The sequence below is a fragment of the Homo sapiens genome, chromosome 21 (genome assembly GCF_000001405.40).
Source record: "Homo sapiens chromosome 21, GRCh38.p14 Primary Assembly".
Classification (NCBI taxonomy): Eukaryota; Metazoa; Chordata; class Mammalia; order Primates; family Hominidae; genus Homo; species Homo sapiens.
This window is the reverse complement of record NC_000021.9, coordinates 16,174,955-16,193,484: the sequence shown is the minus strand read 5'-3', so window position 1 is coordinate 16,193,484 and position 18,530 is coordinate 16,174,955. Positions and strand designations below refer to the sequence as shown.

The 18,530-nt window shown below is 36.1% G+C and overlaps 1 long non-coding RNA gene across 7 annotated transcripts in view, besides 1 other annotated feature; it reads right to left on the bottom strand.

The window, feature by feature from the left end:
• Positions 1-18,530, bottom strand: part of MIR99AHG (mir-99a-let-7c cluster host gene) — a 561,240-nt gene that overhangs the window by 438,243 nt on the left and 104,467 nt on the right. For 5 of the 7 annotated variants that reach the window (NR_136541.1, NR_136542.1, NR_027790.3 and 2 more), the window contains one exon: positions 11,798-11,894. This is a non-coding gene — a long non-coding RNA (mir-99a-let-7c cluster host gene). Of the gene's footprint in view, positions 1-11,797; positions 12,088-18,530 lie in introns of those variants that run through there. The other 2 variants (NR_136552.1, NR_136551.1) reach the window with 1 other exon arrangement.
• Positions 12,082-12,376: a silencer, noted in NCBI's record as "tiled region #14289; HepG2 Repressive non-DNase unmatched - State 24:Quies". NCBI's record gives its function as "represses a minimal TATA promoter and a strong SV40 promoter by Sharpr-MPRA in HepG2 cells {active_cell/tissue: HepG2}" and the evidence as "EXISTENCE:reporter gene assay evidence [ECO:0000049][PMID:27701403]".

The window sequence follows — 18,530 nt, the reverse complement described above, 5'->3', positions numbered from 1 at the left end:
TTTTGAGCTCTATGTCAGACAAATGTTTTTTCTCTTTAACATTTTTTTAAAATGAGAACTCAAACTAACGGAAAATAGGAGAAACACTAAAGGAAAAGGTAATATTTTAAAACTACAGATTTGTGTAAATTTCATACTGTAAGTTTTCATATTCCTTGAAAACACTAAAAAATAGTAGCCGCCACCATCAATAAATCAATGATACAGAAACATCAGGCAATTTTATTTCAAATTAAATCCATGCTTTTGAATAATACAACCCAATTAAGAAGCACAGGCTTTGATACTGATTGGATTAGCCAATCTCTTCCCTCCAAAAAGGCTGTTACTCAGAAATGGATTTGCCACACCCACGTTTTCTCAACCTTGTTACTTGATGATGCCACAAGGCATGTCTGACTCAGCACAGTGCAGGAATGGCAATATTCCTCATGGATACCTGGCCAACTAAATTGTCTGCAAAGTGGACAGTGACATAAATAAAACAGACAAACCAAAAAAAAAAAATCAAGAATAAATAAGACAGGTGTAAAAAAACAGCGGCCAAATAATACTGTCTGATGGATAGAGTCAATTTTAAAAACTGCAGTAACAAATAATGTGGTAATAGGAGTGTTAAAATCAGTTATGGGTGGGGGTTAGGGCAGAAATTAAGAGTTTCTACTTTCTCCAATATACAATAGAGAGTCACTGATAGGTTTGAAAAAACAGATTGACATTGCCTCTCAATAAATTTTAAATAATAATAATTTGATGTCTTTTAGTGATTCTGTTATGGACGTTTTATATATTGAAAACAGGCATTATTGAAAACCATTTTTGGCTCTTTAGCCAATAGATATGTAGAAAATCAAAAATTCTAATTACTGTTTGAGGAATACCTAGTTTTTAGAAATTTCTACAACTCAGCACCACCCTATCATTGCATGTTTCATCTTACTCTGTTATAAAAAGAGCAAGCTTTTTTTTTTCTTGTTTCTTTCATTTGAGACTAACAAATAACTTCTAAAAGTCAACAAGGCCAGCAGGTCTTATGCATTAGAAGTCTGCAATTAAACACCTGAAGATCTGGCCTCTATTCTGACAGAGCTACATGCACAAAACAAAGGACTTTCTGATAAAAGTGCAAAAAAGGTCACTAATAACCTACATAAAACATAAAACATACATCAGCACTTGAAAGGGCCTTGGTGAGTTCACAGTCCATAATGTATTTTTTTTTAATGGCCAGTTGACTAAAACAACCACAGACATTCTGAATTACATACGGGTTACAGAAAAAAATCCCATTTTAAAAGTGACTGAAAAGATCACTACCAGGATGCTATTGAAAAAAGTTGGTCGGTTTCCACCATCATTTCACGGGGATATTGTCCACTGCTCTAGATGCCGTGGTGATTTTATCAAACATTGCAGAACATTTTTCACTAAGTTCATCTAACTTGAAAAACATCTCAATAGCTTAGATAATTCTACCACTAAAACCCTATGATGTGTATTTAGAGATGCTAAGTTAGAATAAATATGAAAATAATTAAAATTATATTTTAATTAAATAAAAGGCCATTCAAAATGGTATGACATAATAATAATATATGAAGTTACAAAGACATAATTTCAAAACATCACATAATAAAAGAAAATACTTGCTACTTATTATGTCATGTTGATATTTTCTACTCTAATCCTATTATGCATCTATGCATTTGTCCAATCATTTGGAATGTCTTGGAAGATAGTCATTTTGGGATGAAGGAAGAGTTGAACTAAAATCAAAGACCTGAAAAATATTGCCATAAAAATTTTAGTTTTCCATGACATCTGGATAGCAGTCCACCATCACAAGGTGGTCTCAGCTAACTTTTTGTTAAAATACTTAAACTGAAAAGTACATCTCTCAACAATTCTAAAAACTAAGATTAATAGCGGTAATATCTTTACCATTCTTCTAAAGCTAATGATGTTGGGCTAAGAAAAACAGGTGGTCTGCATTGTAGAAAGATTAGTCCTATCCATCTGAAAATTAAGAAGGTATTTTTAACAATTCTTGATTAACTGCAGTCATATTTATGGCCTGTTCCACCAAAACTTGGACTGCCATAATTACATCAGGTATCAATAGAAGGTGCTGGTTCTTAGGGTACATAGTGCGGTGTCCTTATATCACTATCTCTTCCTATTTTGGCATTAGTACCCAAAAACAGAAAGTTGCAGCGAGGTGGAGTTGGGGGAGGACGGGGCAGGGAGGGCTGGCATGTAACACATTACATCCCCCCAAAATTAGTTAAAATGAGTTATACAGTAGGAGAGAGAGGAAGATGGTGAAGAAATGAACTTACTGTACTAGGAATAGTAGCTTTTCATCCTTGTGATATAACAAGGTTTGGGACATAAGAGACCTACTTACTATTGAGAGCAAAGTCAGATTGCATAGATGTGTCCTGGTCTCTAGCTGCTGGGAGGTCCACACACCAACGTGTCACCCAGCTGGAGCAACATGAAGTGGATTTAATCAGCATGAATGGGATTTAACCAGCAAGAAGTGAATAGTAAGAAAACAACAGGAGTTATCTGGTTGTAAACATGACATTGGATAGATCTAAGCTAATCCAGAGTGTTGAGCCAATAAAAAAACAAATATAAAGGTGGAGCCTATACACAAATACTACAGAGAAAATGGGATAAGAACATTTTTAAAAGGAGAGCAATAAGTAAATATACTACTATTAAAACAGGTGAAAACAGGGATTTTAAATAAAATTCACAAAGCCATGTTCCCTATCATACAGGACAAGAAGGAGGAAATGGCTTAAAATAAAAGGAAGAAAATGAAACGGAGGTATACACTTAAAAATAAAAAAAAGAAAAGAAAGAAACCATAATGGATTTAAAAAAAAATGAAGTAAGGATGATAAATGACACTGGAAAATTACAACAGTGAAATCAATGACAAACTTTAAAAAATAAGAGATGTGTTTGAAATCTGTAGCAACAATATAGGTAAGCTTGCTGGAAGAAATCTTCTAATATTTGATTTCACATGTTTTTAAATCTAAAATGTCACAAAACATAAGGAAAACTTAAAAGTATATTCTGTGTTCTACCCAAAAAGACACAGGCACTTGTGTGTTCATCACAGCACTATTCATAATAACAAAGACATGGAATCAACCTAGATACCCATCAGTGGTGGACTGGATTAAGAAAATATGGTACATACATACCGTGGAATACTACACAGTCATGAAAAATAATAAAATCATGTCCTTTGCAGCAACATAGATGCAGCTGGAGGCCACTATCCTCAGCGAATTAGTGCAGGAACAGAAAACCAAATTCTGTATATCCTCATTTATAAGTGGGAGCTAAAGACCAGGTACCCATGGACATAAAGATGGAAACAATAGACCCGGGGGGTCACTAGACGGGGGAAGAGAGGGAGGGAGGAAAGGGCTAAACGTATTGGGTACTATACTCACTACCTGGGTGACAGGATCATTCATACACAAAACTCAGCATGCTACACTATACCCATGTAATAAACCTGCACGTGTACTCCCCGAATCTAAAATAAAAATGATATTACGATATCACTTAAAAATGATATTATGAAAGAGAGAAACATGTCTATAAAAATGTGAATAACTTCAACATTATTAATGCATAACAGCTCTTGCACATTATTTTAAAGGAAAAAAAGGAGCAAACACTTTAATTTAAAAAGAATGGATAAAGAAGAGGAAGAGATGAGCGGTGGCTCATGCCTGTAATCCCAGCACTTTGGGAGGCCGAGGCGGGCAGATCACAAGGTCAGGAGATCGAGACCAGCCTGGCCAACATAGTGAAACCCGTCTCTACTAAAAATACAAAAAAATTAGCTGGGCGTGGTGGCAGGCACCTGTAATCCCAGCTACTCGAGAGGCTGTGGGCAGGAGAACTGCTTAAACCCGAGAGGCAGAGGTAGCAGTGAGCCGAGATCGCCCCACTGCACTCCAGCCCAGGCGACAGTGCAAGACTGCATCTCAAAAAAAAAACAAAAAACAAAACAAAACAAAAAAACCTGAAGCAACATTGATATATAGTGTACATTTTTATTTTTTTATCATTTAAAAACTAATATTCAAAGTGGGTTATTCTGTTGTAAAATGAGTATCGTCATACATTACATATGAGTATACAAATTAAAACAGGCTTTCTGGAAGGCAACTTATTTATATGTACCAAAAGTTTTGTACTTTTTGTTTTTATGTATTTATTTGTTGAACAAATAAGTATTTATTGATCACGTACTATGTCTCAGGCACTGTTTCAGATGCTAGGAATAAAGCATTTAACAAAACAAAATTTCTGCCTCGTTTATCTTCGATTCTATGAGGTAGAGATAACAAGTAGACAAATAAACATTACATATTAAGTACTACTGAACGTTAAGACAAAAATAACGCAGGATAAGACAAATAACTTCGGAGGCAGCAGATACGACATTTTACATACGGGTTCAGGGAAATGTCTTTCTGGTGTGGTAACATTTCAGCAATAATCTGAGTGTAATATGGGAGTCTAACGTAATATATGGGAGAAAAGCACTTGTGGAGAGGGACGTACCAGTGAAAGGCTCTAAGATGGGGCACGATTCTCAGTGATACTTTGAGGGCCCTTTTGTAAGAAATTCATTAGTGAGATAGGGGTATGTGTAATGTGTGCACCATTTTTGTACAAAATTGTTTATAACTGCCAGGAAAACTGAAAATAGAGTATATCAATTCTTATGATATATTAGATATTGGTTAAAAATGGTATTTTCAAGAGTCATGAGATGTAAACTTTAGGTAAGCAAAAGCAGGGGGAAAGAAACAAACTGCAGATAATGTATGATTCCAATTTTGTAAGACGAGTATTTTTCAATATAGTTAAAAGATCAGGTATCAAAATGTTGACAGTAACTATCATCTCTGTATAGTAGAATATTGGATTTACTTTCTGATATTTTCTAAATTAAAAAAACATATAAGTATCTTTTTTAATAAAAGAAAAACATTAAACAAAGGAGAGGCAGACATTCCAACTTTGCTGTATCATTAATTTCAGCATTCTCTTTATCACACATCTTAAAGCCCTTAATTTTTTCAAATATTTTACTTTCCCAAATCTAGTTAGAATTTGAAATGATTCTTCTTTTTTAAGGAATGGAAATTTCCCCCTTCCCTTCAATTTCACTGCTTCTGCTCTGTTGCTTAGATTCACAGGAAGATTTTAAAAATAAATCTATAAAATCATGTTCATCTCTGTCTATAGCCTTTGTTTTCTCCTTCGAGAGCATATGGTGACAGTCATCTCATCCAGTGACAAATGCCCTCCCACAACATCTACTACTTTGACCCTTAATTAGATCTTCTCAGACAATCTAAAATAACTCATGTCTGAGACTCTCCCTATCTGTACAGATCCCAAAGGATTGGGAAGCAAGAAAGTATCTTACTGCAGCCGAGGATACATGTAGCCAAATGGGTGAGCAACTGGGAGTTGAGTGAGGTTGCTTTAAAAAAAAAAGAGAGAGAAAAGAAAGAAAGAAAAAGAAGAAAGAAAGAAAGGGAGAGAGAAAGGCAGAAAGAGAAGGAAGGAGGGAAGGAAGGAAGCAAGAAAGAAAGAAAGGAAAGAAGGAAAGGAGGAAGGAAGGAGAAAGGGAAAGGGAAGAGAACAAGCATGCCAACACAGAGAAAACTATACAATTAGGTCATTAATGAAAAGTGAAAGCTCAGCAAGGTATCAGAATGTGCAGGTGAAATCTCATGTTGAGAATCAGAGAGCAGGGTGGTCAAGAGCACCCAGTTCAACAAGTTTTGTTTTGATAAATCTATAAAGCATACTGCCTGGGTGTTGCCTTTCAAAGCTCTTGTTAAAACAACAACAACAACAAAAAAACCCACTAAAACAAATAAAGAAAGTAAATATGAAGGTGAGAGAGAGAGAGAATATTAGATGATCTCCCATAATTTTAAAAAATGAATAAATGATTAGAATGGGAGCTGGGAAGGAAGAGGAAGAATGGCTCCTGGAGGGGTGTTATGAAATGCACATGTATAATTGATTCTTGTGTTCACTGGTGTTGCTACATTAATGTAAGTAAGTAAGCACAGGTAGCATGTCTACAATAGTGACAGGTCAAAGCTGAAGTCTAATCCTATGGGAAACTATTTGAGGGGCAACTATTGAGCTCCTCAAGGGAGGATCGTTTGTGTGTGAGGCCTGGGCTTAACTGGGGTCCTGATACCCAGATTGTCTTTCATCTATCGTGGATGATACTGCCTGGCCCCCATATGCCTCATTGCCAATAGAGTTCACCCAGTCAAGTGGTTGCTCTAGCTGTTGGGTGACCAAATCTGCTTGGGCCCCAGAGACAGACCTAGGAAGATAGTGTGGAATTAATAACAATTTTAACCAAGGAAAAGATACCGGAGGCATTAGGCAAATGTGCTCCAGCATATTACAGCCACATGGAGTGGCAGAGTCAAGAACAAGAAACAAGACTGTATTTGGCACTTATACAAGAATGTTTCTGAGATAAACCAGGGCTTCCTTCAGCAGATAGTGAAAAGCATGTCACATGCCACAACTCAAGGAGTGTGGAAAGGCCAACCTATTCAAATTATCTTTCCCTTTAGCCCTCCTTAGTTCTAAAAATCCCCTTAGAGATTTTGGTGCCAAAAATCCTTACCATACCAAGACACTAATTTGTATATGGGTAAAATACTATCTCTGGAACTTCTACAAAAATAAAATATAGTACATGTAAAGATCGTATTCACCTCCTTATGACTGTCTTCAGGCTTTAGATTAGGATATTCTGAATCAGAGGATGTTGGCAAAGAAGGCAAGCCTCTCAGGAGCAGGGCTGCCGAATTTGAGTTAATACTCTTAAACAACTGGCCCTAAATCACTAGTACCTAAAACTGTGGGTGCCTATGCTGTTACTGAAACTTTGCCTGTTGAGTTAGAGCATCCTGAAGAGTTAATCAACGGCAGCATACTACTTTCCTGAGCTCCCTGAGCTAATATCCAAATGATCAGAACTAAACTTCCATTTATAAGAGGATATTATGGGATAATGAATATAAAAGCAAATAAAGTTCTATGATTCTAGTTCTAAAATTTTCAAGAAGAGCTATTTTTACAGATCCCACTTTCTGTTGAATTGGATGGGGGAATTGTTTTCATTTTGTCCCCAAGTCATAGCTCAATTAATTAACTTTCAAGCTTTTAAGAAAGAAAATTGATTCTAACTATAGCATGTGATCAGAAAGGTATCCAAAATATCTGAGCTAAAGCATTTTGGAATATATTATACAGATTACATGTTACAAAGTTTATTCTTTTCTTGCCCTTTTTCCTTTCAGGAAGGAAAGCTTGAGAAGAAATCGTCAAATGTTGCAGGATTCTTGTAAGCACAGAGAACTATGAAGACCTGACAAGGAGGGTATCTTTTTCTTTCATGCTTGTCCAACAAGAGAGCACATTGTTAGTGTGCTTGAATTCCAACAAAAGAAGGCATAGAATGAATCTTGGTTGTTCCCTTTTACTTGCTAAATATGTACTGAATGAATAAATGGTGCATTATACATCTATAAAACAGCTGAAAATAACATTTGTAGTGAGTGTGAATCTATACAAATTTCCCAAGAAAACATGAAACTAGGATGCCTGCTGTGAAAGACAAAAGCTCTGATCATATCTTTAAAAGAAGGAAGTCTTAGCAGTTGATAAAAGATTGTTTTAGGCCTAAAGACTGGTATACATTTAAGAAGGGGCTGGGCACGTGGCTCACACCTGAAATACCAGCAATTTGGGACACTGAGGAGAGAGGATTGCCTGAGCCCAGGAGTTCAAGACTAGCCTGGGCAATAGTGACATCCTATCTCTACAAAAAAATAAAGTTACAAAGGTGTGATAGTGCACACCTGTAGTCCCAGCTACACAGGGTAAGAGTGATGTTTAGGGAAAGAAAGGATGGGGACATTAACCAGAAGCCTCCAGTGACTGGTTCCTTCCCACCTTACCTCCCACCAGACTTTCTCCACCAATAATTATATGCTAATTAAAGCAAAGCCAGCAGCCACTCTGTTTGTCATGGCCATGCCTTTTACTAGAGAGTCTTTGGTGTTTGGAGAGCCCTGCAGCCACAATCTGCTTTCTCTCCTTTTTCTGGCTTCTCTTCTTTTTCATGTAGCTTGTTTCTTCTCTCTTTTAAGACTTATCTTAGATGTCACCTCCTCTGCTTCTGCCCAGACCCAGTTGAGTCCCTCTCCCCTGGCATCCAGTTGCTCTCTGTGACTGCTAGCATTGCACTTACTGTCTTTCACTAAAAGGTAGAAATTTCATCCCTCTGCCAATTTGGTTTCAGAAATATCTCTTGATTCCATTCTCTGATCTTGTCCCAGTGCCTCTACTGTTTTGACTCAGGTAATTGTCATCTACTGCTCACCTGGTTTCTTACAAAGCCCCTTCCCTGGTTTTCCAGCCTCTCTCCAGCAGCTCAATAATCAAAATATTGCCAGAATTTTCTTCCTAAAATACATGCCATTTTTCTGCTCAACACCTTTAGTTTCCCTCATTTCCAAAATAATAAAAACCTAAACTTTTAACACAGCAAAAATAATAATAATAATAATAATAATATTCATCATAATTTGACCTTTATAGTCTCATTAGCCCACACTCCTACCACTCTTAATCTATGTTCTGGGCACATTAAATATCTGGCCATGCTCAAGAAACGTGTGCTCCTTAATATGTGTGTGCCTTCCACAGAGCCAGTTCCTTGCCATAAAATGCCTTTCTCCCATTTAGTTCTTTCTAAAATGCTAATTCATCTCCTAAGATGCTGCACAAGCACTCTTCAATAAATTATCCCAGTCTCTGCCAAGCAGAGCGATTTGCTAAATGTTATGTGAGGTCACAATATTTTGTTCATGTATCTAATTTAGTTTTTTGGGTTTTTTATTGTTTTTCTTTTTCTCTTTCTTTTCTTTTCTTTTCTTCCTTTCTTTTTTTTTTTTTTTTTTTTTTTTTTTTTTTTTTTTTTTTTTTTTTTTTTGAGACAGAGTCTCATTCTGTCACCCAGGCTGGAGTGCAGTGGTGCGATCTCGGCTCACTGAAACCTCTACCGCCTGGGTTCAAGCGATTCTCCAGCCTCAGCCTCCCGAGTAGCTGGGATTACAGGCACCCACCACCATGCCCGGCTAATTTTTCTATTTTTAGTAGAGACAGCATTTCGCCATCTTGGCAAGGCTGGTCTTAAACTCCTGTCGTCGTGATCCGCCTGCCTCGGCCTCCCAAAGTGCTGGGGTTACAGGCATGAGCCACTGCTCCTGGCCTGATTTTGTATTTAGTACAGTATTTTAGTTGTTGATTTTATTTCTGCTTTTGGCTTTATGTCTTGCACGAAACAAATGTTACTTTTGTCCCTCCTCTATACCAATAGATGGTGACCTCATGGAGGCATCAAACTGCTTTATTGGTTTCAGTATTTCCAAAGCCTGTCACAACATCTAGCACTCAGTAGGCAACTGCTGGATTACTGGGAAAGGAAAAGGAGAAAAGAGGAAGGGAGAGGAAGGGAGACGAGGGGAGGAGAGGGGAGAGGAGGGCAGGGGGTGGAGGGGAGGGAAAGGGAGAGGAAGGGAGGGCAGGGAGAGTACAGGAGGGGAGGGGAGGGGAGAAGAGGAGAGAATGATATGACAGGAGATAACGTACTAAGACGAGGAGAGGAATGAAGACTCTATTAAAATTCCACAACTGAGAATGCATCATTGTTCTGAAGGTGGATATAACCTTTATAGCAAAGAAAAAGAAAACTATCTTAAATCAGATAACTAAAGGATTCCAATTTCAAGAAGGTAAAATAAATAATCTTTCCATAACTTTCTACTTCCAAAAATCATTGCAAAGAATGAGGAAGAAAAAGAAACTCTAATGCAAATTGTGTTTCTTTCTTGTATAACAAATTCCCACAAACTTGCTGACTTAAAAACAACTGAGATTTCTTCCGTTACAGTTCTGGAGGCCAGAAACTTAACATCAGTTTTACTGGGGTAAAATCAAGCTTTTTGGCAGAGCCAAGTAAAAAGAGGACATGATTTCTAGAAAAAAAACAAAAAACAACAACAAAAACAAAAACTAACAACAAAAAAAACACCTACCACATCATAAAATGGAAGAATAAACTAGGGCGACAGCCAAAATAAAAACAAAAACAAAACCCTAAATGACATCTCTTTATAAGAAGCCTTCGAGCGCAACTAGAGATAAAAGTGGAAGGTAAAAGTGGAAGGAGATAAAAGTCTCCTGTCTCTTTCTACTTTTATCTGGAAGGAGCCAGGGTAGCAGGAGAGATTTCTCCAAGGGTAGTGGGAAGGGGACCTTTCTAGATTATTTGACCAGCTTGTCATTGTAGAAAATTGAATAGAAAGGCATTTTATAAAGATAATGGAGGGTTCGGGAAGACCTAGAAAAAAAATAAAAAGAAGAAGAATAGGAGGAAGGGAGGGAAAAAGGAAGGAGGGGAGAAGGGAGATAGGGAGATGGTGAGGGAGAAACTGAGCAAAAGAAGAATAAAGGTGGCTCACGCCTGTAATCCCAGCACATTGGGAGGCCAAGGCGGGCAGATCACTTGAGATCAGGAGTTCGAGACCAGCCTGGCCAACATGGTGAAACCCTGTTTCTAATAAAAATACCAAAAACATTAGCCAGACTTTGTGGCACATGCCTGTAATCCCAGCTACTCGGGAGGCTGAGGCAGGAGAATCGCTTGAACCCAGGAAGCAGAGGCTGCAGTGAGCCGAGATCCCACCACTGCACTCCAGCCTGGGTGACAGAGAGAGACTCCATCAAAAAAAAGAAAGAAAGAGAGAGAGAGAGAGAAGGAGGAAGGAGGGATGGAGGGAGGCAGGGAGGGAGGGAGGGAGGGGAGGGAGGGACGGAGGGACGGAGGGAGGGAGGAAGGAAGGAAGGAAGGAAGGAAGGGCACTGACTTCAAGAGAAAATGAAAATTCTACTACAGTAAAGAGAATGCAATCATATCACATCACCAGTCTCAGCAGTAAACATTATTTGTATAGTCTTACTAACTATAAATTCAGATACAGATTTAAATTAAAACAATAAAAATAGTGATATAGCTATATTGGGAGAATCAAGAATTTTGAGGTCTTAAGGAAGTTTAAATCCACATCTATAGCAACAAGAAATCAATTGTTAGAGCACTAACTCTAAAAATCCTGAGATAGATTTATAGATGTTATTTAAAACCACAAAAGTAAAATAAAAATTAAAGAGTTTGAAAGTGGTTCCTTTCCTGCAGTTGTGCCAAAAGGTTTATTTCTTTAGTTACTAGCCTTTAAATTTACCTGAATTTTAAATATATGCACATGTATTCATTTGGTAAAAGTTACTTTTTAAAGAAATATTAAATTTATTTAGCCCATACCTCTCTTTACTTTGTTTAGAATTGTAACAAGCAAATCAAATAGCCACATGTCCTCTTTTTTCTTTAAAATATTTTTATAAAAGTAAGTTATACTACAACTATAACTTTATTAATGAGTCAATGCACAAATGCATGCTTTAGTCACTCTGCTCTTCACAGATAATCGAAATTGATACAATGTCATGTTTATTAACAAGTTATACATTAGATGATAAATATAGCTTCTGCAAAAATCTGTAGATCAAACTTGAGAAAGAAAATAGTTTATTTTATAAAGTGACTATGCATTCCTAAAATCGTCTGTATTATTTTTACCTGGTTTGCAGAACGTTGAACTGTCTCCAGATGAAGAACTGGTTGGGCCTTGCTATTTCTTCTCATCTTCACATCACCATGGGCAAGCTAAAGAAAGCTGGAGAGAAGAAATGTTGATTTGTAAATTCAGAATTGGCACTCATTCAAAAACTTCCTATAGGTATACTAATGCTCATCTCATCAACTTGTTAATAAAAAGGTCTTATATATATCCCTTAACTTTAAAACTAATTTAATGCAAAATCATATTTTTTCAGAGTAAATGGCTGTTTAAAAATAATATTTCCACCAAACACACACAGAGCAAAGTACAAGGAGAGTTTACACAACAGGATGAGATTCTCAGTTATTATTTCTGGAGAGCATCCTAGTCTGATGTTTTTCCTTTCGCCATTCTTAGAGAAAGTACGCTGTCCAAAACAGATCAATCTAAGTCCTCCTTATTTCCTCAGGAATACAGGTCAGGCAACATGCAGTATCCTTGGGAAAGTGGCCCAAAATGACCAAAAAGGCCATCTCAGTAAGACATCAGGAAGCACAACTGTTTCCAGTGACACCAACATAACAAAAAACAAAACGCTCTAGAACTATGTGCTTTCTGAATCATAGTTTGTAAAAATATTGCACATGCTGTGTTTTGACCACCCAAGATAAATTAAAGTCACTTTATCCCTCTAAAAGCATCTTGGTCCTACTGATGTTTATGATTCTAAAATCAGGAGCATGGGTGGGACCCTCTCAGTTCCTGGGAAAGGATCAGTCAGTATCTGCTAAGGCGATGTTAGAAAAAAGCTTTAAAATACCCCCTTTGTTGCAAACCTGCTATGGGAATTTATGGTATGCAACATCAAAGGAGTAAAATTCAGGTCACCTCTGTTGGATGTAGCCATGTGGGTGTGTGAATTAAAAACATGCAACAGGGAGCCTCACAGGTTCCTGTTTCAGTCTGGCCTCTTCTTCGACTTATCTAAAAGTGATCCTTATTGATAGTCAAAGGAGAGAGGGCTCAGACAATTTTCAGAATGTGCTGGTTCTCAGAAAAGCGGATTAGAATGGTCAAATGCCCCATTACCCTCACGAAATAACCAATAAAAAAGCAGGCCCAAATCTTGGTAGCTAAAAGAAAAAAAGAATTTCTGAGAATATTTCTGTTCATCGTGAAATAGATGAAAAATGAAGTTGTTCAGGAAGAGCTGCAGAATGTGTAGAAGTGAACTGCATACTTCTGGTTCAGCTTCTCAAGCTATTAGGACACAGCATAACAGGATGGTGTTTCAAGGTGATCGACCACCTAGCAGCTAATATCTGTGGATCCCCTAGGTTGGCCAGACCCTTAAAGGAATGGGACACTAATCTCCACAGTTGCAAAGCTTATTTCAAAGCTTACATCCTACAACTAATAAAAGTACAGAGATTTTAAAACATGACAGTTTGTACTAGCCTGAAAAGAGTGACAAACTGATAGAGGTAAAGTAAAAAAAACAGATAAAAATAAAACGAGACTTTGTTATTTGAGCAAAGCTTCTATTTTAGTTGTTCTGATGTTTCCTTCAAACCTACTTTCCCTAAGCAACTTCTGCAACTTGATTTCCTTCCTGCCCAAATTGCTGTGTCACCTGCTTTCCAACTAACAAAATCCTGCCCCTCTTTGAAGTGTCCTTTCAAATTGCACCTCCTTGGTAACAATTTCTCTGACCATACTAGTCCATGACATTCTTTATTTACTGAACTCATCTGTGACCCCATCTTGGCGGCTGTATTATGCGATCTTGAGATGTTATATGTGTGTGTCTATGTTTGTTTAAACTGATGCCTTATCTCCTGTGTTACACTGCAAATTCAACAGGCCCCACAATCAGGACTTCTATTTTCTGTTTTAATTTCCTACAGCCCTCGCTTCAAACTTACACAATTAGTACAAAAGAAGGTTGACAAAAGAACCAGCATATTTTTTCCTTTAGCATAAGTAATATTAAAAGCCTTCTTCATGTATTATAATGCATTTAGACAGAAATTTAAGCTGACTTTGTGAAGAAATATTATCCAATTATCTAAGCTTTCTTTTTCAGTTGTTTAGGAGTTTGGCTTAGAATAAGGTGATAAATAGGTGAACAATATTAAGGAGCAGCTTTTGAGTTGCTTATCAGTAATTCCACGTTATCTCAACATTTATGGGTTCTTTAAAGACTTTATTTGTAATTTGCTCCCTATATAGATGAGTAAGCTGCATCTAGAAACTCTCTTCAGACATGTTATTTCATTTAAAGTTTTAAAAACTGGATTCCTTTTTAAATAATACCAAATTCAAAGTAATAAATAATAATAATAAATAAATAATACCAAATTCAAAGTGATAAACATAGGCTTTATTAAGCATGTCTAAATTTGGTTCAAAGTTCATGTACTTTTTTTACATTTACCTTTTATTTAAAATTTTAAAATTGCTGTATAATAGATGTACATAGTTTTGGGGCACATGTGCTAATTAAATATATTCATATAATTTATAAATTTTGATATTTTTTCCCAATGAAGATTTAAATAGTCTATGAAAAGTGGGTATTATTCTTTAAGAGAACACAAAGCTGTATAAACTGAGAAATATTATCAACCACACACAGAATATAAAGTTGATAGAAATCAAACTTGGAAAACATAAAAAACTCTTTTATGTTCTTTTATGTTCTTGACCAACTTGAAACTATAGACCAACTTGAAAGAGTTTTCATTAGTCACATGACTATTTTCTTTTCTTTTCTTTTTTTTTTTGCTAACAAGGAAAAATATACCATTTCTACTTATGAATATGCAAATCATTTTAATAAGTAAAAATCGGAAAAACACTGTGAAGGAAAATGTGGCACCTGAGCTACACAAGGAGGTAAATGCAGAATTGAGATATGTGACGGCTACCTAAAAGATAAAATTGCCCATGATAGAGTCCTTGCCATCAGGAGATGGGAAAATGAAATAGACACACACATAGGGAAAGCTAAAAAACAAACAAACACAGGTTTGGTGAAAAAGACGGATTTGAATCTATCCTCTTTTGCTTTCTACCAAAGAAACTTGAGAGAAGCTGCTTGGACTCATTAAGCCTCAGTTTTTTCGCCCATGAAACAGGCATGCTAGTTCTTCATTGCCTGGTTGTTAAGAGAATTAAATGAGGTACATAACGTAGAAGACCTAGAAAAATCCATGGAGAACTCTGGACATTCAACAGGTGTACCCTCCCTTTCTGCTCTACAGATAGATGAGCAGTTCAGCACAGCAGATGTGTACCTTATTTGAAAGAAAAAGACCCACACATCCACAAATAGCGTTATAGAGATGGGAAAAATTTTAAAGACCTTTAGAACAAGAAAAAAAATTGGAGCAGTAGGAAAAGTAGAGAAAGTAAAAGCGTGAATCCAAGAAGTGAAGGAACACACATATTCTTGAAAAGATGGAGGCTGAGTGGAAGAAAATGCTTATGTGCAAAAGTAATTATATATAAAAGAAGTAACAATGTAAGTTGGGGCCTGGCCCATGAATTCCAGGTGGAAGAGTGGGGAAATACTGGGAAGCTAATAAAGCTCTGGAGCAGAACAAGGAGAATAAATTTTCATAGAAGTAAATGGTGCTATTCTTATAAAATTCAATTATCATAATAAAATACTGCAACTATGAAGCCTTTCCTATTGGAAATGTGTCAATTCTTGCGAATAAAAATTTACCCTTCATTCAATTTGAGATTGAGCTTTTACATAAGAGAACTTTCCTTAAAGTGCATTACTATATTTTGTTCCAATAAATTATACTATGCTTTTAAGAAGTGGCCAACAAGGCAACAAAACCCCTCCTGCCTAATTATTTGTAAGCATAGCGAGTTTGGAGCAGGAAAAAAATAGAAATGCACATTATACATCTGATACTGCATAAAACAACCACGGTTTGGGAAGTAGAGCAGATCACTAAAAACACTATAATGGATCTGTAATGGCTCTCTGTGGAATTCTTCACACACAATAAAATCTCTTTGTAATGAGGATAAATTGCGCATATTATACTTATTATTCAGTAAGAACATATTTTATTTACCTATAACATTTTTCTAGATGGATGGTAATACAGTCTAAAAAAGGCTTCCAGACATCCTACTTTGTGTATTCTCCTTCCCTCTCACAATTTCACATTTAGGGTAATGGATCTTTCTGTTTTTGGTATATGACACATCTATTACTCTCCTGTAGTCCATATGTTAGTCTTGCAGCTCTGTTTCAAATGATGATTTAACTAGCTTGAAAAAAAATAATTTTGGTATTCAGAGTAATATAAGACCAAACAAAGTGCCCAGGGTTCTACCCAATCCTGCAATGCCATTTATTTTTAAAGAGCTGAGATAAACAAAGTTTATTTTCACTGAGTAAAATTAAAGAATACTGAAGGCTCAGTTCAGATGAACAACTACAACATGAAAACACTATATTATCATTAATATTAATCTAACTTTCTTGCATTAATACAAGATGTCCTGAACTGCTTAGTTTTATTGAAGAAGGGGTAGAGGGGAAGCTACTAGCTATTCTCATAAAATGATAAAAACAAATAGTCTCTTAATATCTCTTTATTTTAAATAACGTAACATTCATATTACTCATAATATTTTAATCCTAACTGACCATGTCAATTCAGTAATGTCAATAATAAATCCATCACAGTTTTTTTTGTCATTTTTAACTCTGGTTTTTAAATTCAGGATCATTGTTAAATTTAGCCTAATGTGAAGAATAGCTTACATTTTGCAGTGATATTCTGTCTAAAGCATTTTTCAGATTTATTTTATAGTCAAAATAGGTCTGAAAAGAAACCACAATCAAAGTTGATGATGAAGAAAGTGTCTTTAGCAAAGGAGGCAATGGCTTCCCAAATGACTCATTTGGATAAGCAGAAAGCCAGCTTGTTTTCAGAACTCTTGGCCCAGTCTGGGACTTGATGTTCTAAGCAATGCTCCAATCCCCCTAACTTAACTGAACCTCCATCTGGTCTTCACAAGTTACAAGGAAATGTAAACCATAAAGAAATCTAGAGAAGATTCATAAAGTTTAACAAAGTCTTATAAAAAAATTATAAAATCACACTAATAAAAATGAGATTTATTTTTTCAAATTGTGGAGTATGTTGAGATAAAGGACTGACTTGATAGTCCTTGAACTGCTACACACAAAACAGGCCTTCGAGGAAAAAGTCCTTGACTCAATATACAAGCAGAAAGCAGATACAGAGAAAAGCCACTATTGTATGAATAGACAGGACAAGAAAATAGAATAAGTACTAATGTTGGTGTTTGGTTAGAACAAGAAGTAGTAACATAAGGAGATTTGAATGTGTTTTTAGCTTCAGATATTGAGTCTTATCAAAATATAGGTGTTGGCAAAGAGAAGAACATGTGATTTATGTATGAAGTGAGGACTAAGGTTGTTCCTAAAAGGAGCAGCGTTACTCCTTTCCAGGTCAGAAAACAACATAAGGGACAAACAAAAATTATACCAACTTCCCCTGCTATACGATAACAACAATGACGTCTACAATATTTATGCACCACCTACTATACATCAGGCCATAATCTCTATTAACTCTTTTATTCCTCCAACATTGCTAGGAGAGAAGGTAACATTATTCCTCAAAATCTAGCTGCAGGGAGTTTAAGTAAATTGGTCAAGGTCATAGCCAATCAGTGGCAAAACCAAGATTTGAACCTCAGCCATCTGGATCGAGAGCTTACATTGCATTGTTATTGTTTCCTGGCTCTTGGTATTATTATTTTCTTTATTTTTGTTTATAAAATTGGTTATTATTTTGTGCCTCTAAGGTTTGTGTTAAAGTGGGAACAACACCTGCGTCCATTTAATATGTTCCAAGCCTAAAAAATGCAGAGGTAGAAAGGCATGAGGGGATGGGAGGGACTAGGGAGAGAAGGAAGACAACAGAATTTTCAGAAATTTGAAGGATGATGTACCATTTGAAAAGCCCTACTCAATATGTTCAGTTCCATAGTTTAAATATCATAAATTACTAACAGAAAGTACATTACTTTAGAAGTTAAAGACTGGCTCCATTAGATTGCTAGAGCATAGGTCAATGAGTTCTTTAAAAGTTTAATCCGGACAGGCTGGGCACACTAAAAGGATCAGGAGTCACAAAAACAAACCTGGGTCATTTCACTCTGTTCTTGACACACAAAATGCCATTATTTATAGTATGGAGTTTTAACTATTCATAGCATGAAGTTTAAACCACTTCACCTGGAATTAAAAAGTCTTGGCAATTTTGCCCCAGCCACCTTTCCAGCCTCACTTCCTGTGATCTGTGACCACTCCTCATTATATACATGTTAATTGTTCCCAAACATGCTGTAAACTAGAATGCTTTCTCTGATTAAAATGAATGTTTAAAATCTGATTTGTTGTTGGAATGCCAACTCAAATGTTAATACTTTCTTTGTTTTTTTATTTTTTTGTTCTTCAATAAATATGTATATTTTATGAACACAGAGAAAAGATGAATATGCAGTATTTGGAGAGTATGAAGTTTTCTCTACATATGTGTAAAATTATTACACATGTGTTACATATATACATACCCAAAAAATCCAGTTTATTGATTATATTCCTCAATTAACTTTTGTTCTTTCTAATTTTTTCTGGCAGATCTGTCCCATTCTTAAAATACATCAACTAATATGCTTCCTTGC